A 7,948-nucleotide genomic window follows, 5' to 3' on the forward strand; every position below is an offset into this window, starting at 1 on the left:
AGAATTTCCTGAATATCCAGCAATTCTCCAACATCAACCAGTTGTTTAACATTTTATCTCACACTACTCAAAATCAGTGCAGATCCCACAAGTCCAGAGTTTAGTCCCACAATACTGTCCTTACTGCAGATGCCCGTCACAAGTCCCAGGTGCTCATCTGTACTTCTGAGTGACTGTCTAGAGCAGCTACTTTAAATGGTTCAAATTATTGAACCCCTCCTGGAATTGAATAATGTGATTAAACTACTCACAGAACTCGGCAAAACACTATACTTGTGTTTACCAGTTTGTTCTATAAGATACAATGCAGGAACAGTCAAATGGAAGAGGTGTATAGAAAAAAGGAAAGTGGTGTGAAAAGATGGGGGCACACAGAAAATTTTGGTAAATAACTGTGATTAATAAAAATTTCTCATCTATTGTGTTCTCCAGGAGCAGCTTAATGAAAATAAACAACTTTCCCATTGTGACTTAGATGATGCTTGCTTTTTTCACCTATCACATAGCCAGACACAGACTCTACAAATTTTCATCATTTTCCCATAAAGAATCAGCTGAACAATTGTCTTTAGTGATCATAACAACATACTTTTTAATCCAACTTTGCTTAAGTTTCTCTCCTTCCCCAGACTCCTGAACTTTGACCCAATCTCAGTCTGAGCAAACATACAACCTCATGTTATGTCCCTGCTAAAAAGATACTGACTTCAGGGTAAAATATTCTCTGATCTAGAGTCTGATTTTGCCACCCTTCATCCTGCCCTCCCCTCCCATCTCCTTTCTAATCTTGTTTGCTTCTCCCTAGGAAAGACAGCCCTTGTATGCCTAACCTTTGAGGTCCTCAAAGATCTTATAGTCTGTACTACCCCCTCTTGTAATACTCCTTTGGAAATTCAAAACTTTTTACTTAAATCTGACTTTTTTTATTTGACAGAGTCTAGAAACAACCCCAGGTCAATAAAAATTTCATCCTCAGAAAGACCCTCCCAATGCCCTTCCATCCCAACCCCAGCTGCATCTGCCTATGGATCCCCAGCTCGCCTGGGCTCTGTAGCTTCTCTCAGTAGAAAGGATTCTTCCATGGCTGGGGTGAGCGGGCTGGGACACCTGCAGGAAAGGCTCCTCAGGAAGAAATAACTGGACCTTCAATAACCTTTTTTTGCAGTCTCAATATTGGCCTTAGCTTGGAGTCACTGGGCTCAGGCTTCAATTCCCAGTCAGAGTTATTCACTTGGCTTTTTAATACTAAGTGTTTGAAAAATTCAGCAAAATTGCTCAAACACAGAGTTTATATAAGGGAAGAAAATTTTAGGCCGGGCATGGTGGCTCATGCCTGTAATCCCAGCACTTTGGGTGGCCAAGGCGGGTGGATCACGAGGTCAGGAGTTCCAGACCAGCCTGACCAACATGGTGAAACCCCGTCTCTAATAAAAATACAAAAATTAACCAGACATGGTGGTGCACACCTGTAATCCCAGCTACTCAGGAGGCTGAGGCAGGAGAATTGCTTGAGCCCAGGAGGCGGAGTTTGCAGTGAGCCTAGATCATGCCACTGCACTCCAGCCTGGAAGACAGAGCGAGACTCCATCTCAAAAAAAAAAGAAAAAAAAAAAAAAGAAGAAAATTTTAAAGTGCTTACTTACATTCCATGACTTAACAAAAAAAGCAAAACTATCCCTTTCAGACAATAAACATGTCATTAAATTATTTTATAACAAATCATTTAGTAAACAATTAGTCACTTGGGAACACTGCTAGGAGGTGGCAAGTCCCATCTCATAAAATTTAGCATTTATACTCAAAAATCAAGATAACAGGATATAGAGCAGAGATAGCCACTGTCACAATTCACCCTACAAAAATCGGAACTGTTTTGATGAATCTACACATTTCACCAACTGATCTATCATATTTTCTTGTAGAAATATATTCATTATCTATAGCCATAATGGAATAAACATTTTTTCCTATTCTTTTTCCCAGTAGCACTCCCAAAGCTAAGCCCTGGGATTTTGTTTGAATCTTCCCTCTCTTAAAAAAAAAAAACACTTGACAACCTTTCTACACTCACTCTGGGGAACAAAAAGGCAAATAAGAATTTTTAACAAATGGAATGTATGACTAAATATTTAATTTTTTCCTGAAACCTACCTTTTTCATGTCCTTTGTATATTTTCTTAACCTTTCAAGCTCTACTGATAAAATGTAATTTACAGTTAAAAAACTAATAAGTGAACAAATATCTTCGAGGTGAAAAACCTAGAAATTCAAATGCTCATTGGAATACAGATGTGTTTGATTCATGTGTCAAGTCAGGCCATCCAACAAATGAGAGATCCTCCCACCCTCATCCTGATCGCTTAAGTGCTCAATGACCATGCTCCAGGAGAAACTATGCTATGCCCCAGTGAGGGCCTCAAGTGCATTTTACTTTGCAGGTTCTTGCACCATCTCACTGGGTTGGGTAGTTTTTGTTTTTTGGACTATTTTCTTTCCTTCACAAATCTGAAAGAATCAAGGGCAAAAATTATTTCTCTCTTTTAACCTCAGTACCAGCATCTGATTAGCTGACCAGCAATATGTCTCCAAGAAATGGAAGCTGGGTTGGATGAAGGCAAACTTAATGTCTCAAGGGGTTAGCTTTTTAGAGGAAGGGTACACCAGGAGATGTCTCTCTGACCCAGGGCATCCACCTGCTCCCTTGAGAGGCTACATTCTTTAACTCAGGTTGTCTTCTGGAAGGAAAATGACTCAGAAGCTGATATTCATGGGACACTCTAGCAGACATGGCCAAGGTGAGTATTTTGGGTTATCCCTAGACAGTATGAAACCCAGGACCAAGATAAAACTGGATCATATCTGAGGACACATCACCTTGTAAAAATTCCAAAGGCAACCCCAACTCAAAGACATTCTGGGCCAGGCATGGTGGCTCACGCCTATAATCCCAGCACTTTGGGAGGCTGAGGTGGGTGGATCACTTAAGGTAAGGAGTTCGAGAACAGCCTGACCAATATGGTGAAACCTGGTCTCTACTAAAAATACAAAAATTAGCCGGGCATGGTAGCACAGGCCTGTAATCCCAGCTGCTCCGGAGGCTGAGGCAAGAAAATCATTTGAACCTGGGAGGTGAGGATGCAGTGGGCCAAGATCACACCACTGCACTCCAGCCTGGGCGACAGAGTGAGACTCTGTCGCAAAAGAAAAAAAAAGACATTCTGATAAGATATCTGTGCCTAGGGAAGATAAAAGGAGGCACGAAGGTTTTTTTTGTATTTTTTTTTGTATACTTTTAAGTTCTAGGGTACATGTGCACAACGTGCAGGTTTGTTACATATGTATACATGTGCCATGTTGGTGTGCTGCACCCATTAACTCGTCATTTACATTAGGTATATCTCCTAATGCTATTCCTCTCCCCTCCCCCCAACTCAGGACAGGCCCGGGTGTGTGATGTTCCCCTTCCTGTGTCCAAGTGTTCTCATTGTTCAATTCCCACCTATGAGTAGAGAACATAAGAGGCACAAAGGTCTTTTACAATTAAGTATCAGAAGACAACTGTGCTTTTTTCTCACGTGAAATGGTTACGAACAGAAAACAAATCTTTCTAAAAGTGTTATCCAATGCTTTGTGAAAAAATGATTAATTAAAATACTGTGTCTGAAATGTACAGTAAAGTAGAAATAACGGTAATGTTGTGAACCATGGAGGGGAAGTTAGCATTTGAGAATGTCAGAAAGAACTGGAAAGTTAGTATTTTACTACAAGAGAGGGTTAGGCTGGAGGAACGGTGACGGGGAGGTAGACTTGAGACCCTGCTTGAGCCATATTTGGAAAATGCAAGGGAAAACTAGTCCCCAGTGGAGTGTGAAGATAATTAGATAGCAGGCAATTAGACCAAGGTGGCTCTGGTGCCCTGAGTTCCTAAGTTTAAAAAAATTTAACTCAAAGGCACTTCTAGTAAATTTCTGCCTTGCGGTAAACAAAATTCAGGCTTAAGCAACCACAAACCTCCAATAAACCTCTGATTACATAACCAAAACTTTCCCACCTGCATCGTACAAATAAGGCGACTACATTACTGTATCCAACCAATTATTGAATTCGATTTGCTTCCTCACTGCCTCTCGTAAAAGCGTTTCCTTCGGGCGGGCGCAGTGGCTCACTCCTGCAATCCCAGCACTTTGGGAGGCCGAGGCGGGTGGGTCACCTGAGGTCAGGAGTTCGAGACCAGCCTGGCTAACCTGGTGAAACCCTCCATTAAAAATACAAAAAAATTAGCCGGGCATGGTGGCGGGCGCCTGTAATCCCAGCTACTCGGGAGGCTGAGGCAGGAGAATCACATGAACCCGGGAAGCGGAGGTTGCAGTGAGCCGAGATTGCGCCATTGCACTCCAGCCTGGGAGACAGAGCGAGACTCTGTCTCCAAAAAAAAAAAAACCGCATTTCCTTCAAGCCCTCACAATGGACAACTAAAAACAATAGTTGGGTGCTCTACGATTCTTGAATCGCTCTTTGCCGAAATTTTTAAATATTTTTGCAGTGACCCCCTCACTTTTTTTTTTTTTTTTTTTTTTTTTTTTTTTTTTTTTGTGAGACGGAGTCTCGCTCTGTCCTCCAGGCTGGAGTGCAGTGGCGTGATCTAGGCTCACTGCAAGCTCCGCCTCCCGGGTTCACGCCATTCTCCTGCCTCAGCCCACACCCCCCCCACCCGGAGTAGCTGAGGCTGCAGGCGCCCGCCACCACGCTCGTTTTTTGTTTGTTTGTTTCTTTGTATTTTCAGTACAGACGGGGTTTCACCATGTTAGCCACGATGGTCTCGAGCTCCTGACCTCGAGATCCGCCCGCCTGGGCCTCCCAAAGTGCTGGGATTACAGGCATGAGCTACCGCGCCCGGCCCCCACCCTCCCCGTTACATTTTTAACAGGAGAAAAGAGGGACCGGGGACCCCACAAATACACCTCTTTGCATCCACAAATCCTGCTCACCGAGTCGAGATTCTCCCGTGATGACGCTCCAATCATCCCCGCACACGCTGGGGAAGACGCGTGGCTGTGGGAGCCGAGTGGCACAGGGAGGGCTCCAGACTGGGGAGCCGGTGTCGCCACACAGGCAGGGGACTGGAGCCCGGGGTCCCAGCTTCCAGTCCAGCCGACATTTGTGGCCGAGCTGGGCCAGGAGGGACTCGGGTCCACAAACCTAGAAGACGACTGCAGGGAGGCCCAGTCACGCTACCGCCGCTTCGGCAGCGGAGCCTAGCCTGCCCCCCATCTCTTGGGATGTCGAGCCGGCACTCACCATTTCTCTGCTTCCAGGAAATCCTGGCGTCTTAGCTACGGGTCTGCCAGTCCCTGCAGGTCGCACAGCCACAGCAGCTGGGCCTGTAGGAGCAGAGTACGGGGGAGCAGTTGGGGGGCAGTTCTCTGTGAACTGAAGACTAGATCTGCAGCCCCAGCTGCGGCAGGAGACAAATGCCCCCGCCAACACCCGGAAGCCGCCCTTGTCCTCTCCAGCTGCAGCCTGATTGCCCGGTTTTCGGCCCCGTGCCCCTTATTGGATAAAGCTTCAGGCCCCGTCCCCAGTCCGTGAGTGACAGAAGATGTGACCAAACACTGGACTCAATGAGGACGGAGTGACAACCTAGGCTGCAGCCTTTCCTGGCAGGCCTTTATCCCTGCTCTGAGCAGGGCCTACCCTACAGGGTATTTGCATTTAACCTTGTGTATAAGGTCATATCCATTTATAAATAATATGTTTTATGTTATTCACAAGTGGAAAGAGTATAATGAGAATTATTTTAGAATTTTGGATTTCATGATCTTCCTGGCCCTAGTCTTTTGAGCAAGCAGCCTGAGATTACAAGGAGGAGGTATTCCTCTGGAGTAAAACGTGAGCCATGTGTGAATTTTAAATTTTCTAGTAGCCATATTTTTAAAAAGTAGAAAGAAATAGGTAAAACTGACTGTAACAATTTATTTAACCCAATATGTTCAAAATATTATCATTTTAATATGTAATCAATAAGCATGAAGAATATATATATATATGGTACAAAATATTTGAAACTCACTCCATATTTTACCTTTCTAGCACTCTCAGTTTAGACCAGTGAGTTTCCAGGCACTAAGTACCCACAAATGGCAAGCAGCTGCCACATAGGAGTGCAGCTCTGATTTCAGTGGGGTGAAGGGCCAGTAAAACATCCCTTTTCTGTCAGAGGTGAAAAAACAGCCTCTCCTCACCAACTTCTCTCCTCAGATCCAAGGGTATAGGAGACAGTGCCCATACAGGGAGAAGAGGGTGGAAAAAATAAAATGTTCACAGGTAGACCATTGCTGCCAACCTGCTGCCTGCCTGCCTTCTTTCCAGAAATCAGACAGTAAACAAAGGATGATAGGGCCACAGGAGAGGGGAACCCCATGTTTTTAGATCTGGCTCACAGACTTGACCTCCAATGTTTAGATATGGAGAAAATGAATTAATGGCAAACGTAATTTGCTATTTGGCCATGGCCCTAATAATCAGGCTGTGGTTTTCTCTTTTCTCCTGTAGTGTGGGGATCGTGTAAGTATAAGTACCAATCACATGTGTACATGTCTACATGCATTTTTGCATTACTCAACATTATCTTACAAGATATCCAACTTTAAATAAGGGACAAGAAAATCGATACCTATGAGATGCTCACTGTTTTCAAGTAATAGTAATCAATCTGTTTTTGAATCCTACCAGGCTGTCTACACTGGGTGCATGGATTAGTTAGTTATTGATGCATAAAAACCACAAAAAACTTAGTAGCTCATGATTGACATGCTCAGCCATTTAGGCTTGGCTCACTGAGCCATTCTTCTGGTCTGAGATGAACTCCATCAGGCATGTATGGTAAGCTGCTGGTTGAGTAGGCAGCTTGCTTCCAGGGGTAAGCTGACTGTCAACAGGGGCATCTCGCTTCTCCTCCCCATAATATCTCAGCCTTCAGCTGGGTAACAGGGGCTTGTTCTCATGGAGATGGCAGCATTCCAAAACAAAAACAGAAGGATTCAAGATCGTTTGAGCCTAGGCTCAAAACTAGCACACTGTCATGTTCACAGGTTTCTATTGCCCTAAGCAGATAAGTCCAGCCAGATCCAAAGTTTGGAAAACAGATCCTGTCACTTGATGCTAATAGCTGTAAAAGCACCTTGCTATGGGCATAAATACAGAAGGGATGAAGAATTGCTGCCATTTTTGCTGTCAGTATCACCCTGCCTTTCCTTGCATATTAGGTTTATAGAATTCTTTTACATCAAAAAACTTGTCCGAAGACCCACAGCTACTAAGTGGCTGGACTGGGACTCTGGATAAACTCTACCTGACTCCAAAGCCCATGTGCCTCCACAGACTGCACCACTCAACTAGCTTTCCTCGACCTTGGAAATACTGAAGTGTGACACTTCCGTAATAGAGGTCAGACTCCTTTTATATTCATGCTAAGTAGTACTGTTTACCACTGGGAATAATCCCCTCAAAAAACTGCAGAAGTATTTTAGAAGGACATGAAATAGTCTGGGGAAATGACTGAGGGAGAAGTTAAGGAAATCAAAGCCCAACAACCTCTTACTTATTTTTCATCATAGGAGAAATTTGAAAACTGTTAAAAGAAAAAAACCTTAGACAAATTAAATTTAGTAGAGTGTAATTGAGCAAAGAATACTTTGTAAATTTGGCAGCCTCCAGATACAGAGTAGGCTCAGAGAGACTCAAGCACAGTCACATAATGGAAGAAGATTAATGGTCAGAAAGACACAGTGACATACAGAAAACAGAAGTGAAGTACAGAAACAACCAGATTATTACAGCCTGGGATTTGCCTTATTTGAACATGGTTTGAATAGTTGACCCCCTTTGATTGGCCAAAACAGTGACTGACCCAAGAGTGGGTTACAGTCTGTTTACACATTCAATTAGG

General features: G+C 43.8%; 1 pseudogene across 1 annotated transcript in view, besides 4 other annotated features; it reads right to left on the reverse strand.

Moving 5' to 3' along the window:
- The window catches only part of LOC441666 (zinc finger protein 91 pseudogene), a 36,180-nt pseudogene extending 30,652 nt beyond the window's left edge, over positions 1–5,528 (reverse strand). Inside the window, exon 1 of the transcript NR_024380.1 lies at positions 5,299–5,528. The product of NR_024380.1 is annotated as a zinc finger protein 91 pseudogene (transcript). The remainder of the gene's footprint in view (positions 1–5,298) is intronic.
- Positions 5,055–5,104: an enhancer, noted in NCBI's record as "active region_3276". NCBI's record gives its function as "activates an Ori minimal core promoter by ATAC-STARR-seq in GM12878 lymphoblastoid cells {active_cell/tissue: GM12878}" and the evidence as "EXISTENCE:reporter gene assay evidence [ECO:0000049][PMID:35858748]".
- Positions 5,135–5,184: an enhancer, noted in NCBI's record as "active region_3277". NCBI's record gives its function as "activates an Ori minimal core promoter by ATAC-STARR-seq in GM12878 lymphoblastoid cells {active_cell/tissue: GM12878}" and the evidence as "EXISTENCE:reporter gene assay evidence [ECO:0000049][PMID:35858748]".
- Positions 5,205–5,404: an enhancer, noted in NCBI's record as "active region_3278". NCBI's record gives its function as "activates an Ori minimal core promoter by ATAC-STARR-seq in GM12878 lymphoblastoid cells {active_cell/tissue: GM12878}" and the evidence as "EXISTENCE:reporter gene assay evidence [ECO:0000049][PMID:35858748]".
- Positions 5,455–5,504: an enhancer, noted in NCBI's record as "active region_3279". NCBI's record gives its function as "activates an Ori minimal core promoter by ATAC-STARR-seq in GM12878 lymphoblastoid cells {active_cell/tissue: GM12878}" and the evidence as "EXISTENCE:reporter gene assay evidence [ECO:0000049][PMID:35858748]".

This window comes from Homo sapiens, chromosome 10 (assembly GCF_000001405.40).
Source record: "Homo sapiens chromosome 10, GRCh38.p14 Primary Assembly".
Lineage (NCBI taxonomy): Eukaryota > Metazoa > Chordata > Mammalia > Primates > Hominidae > Homo > Homo sapiens.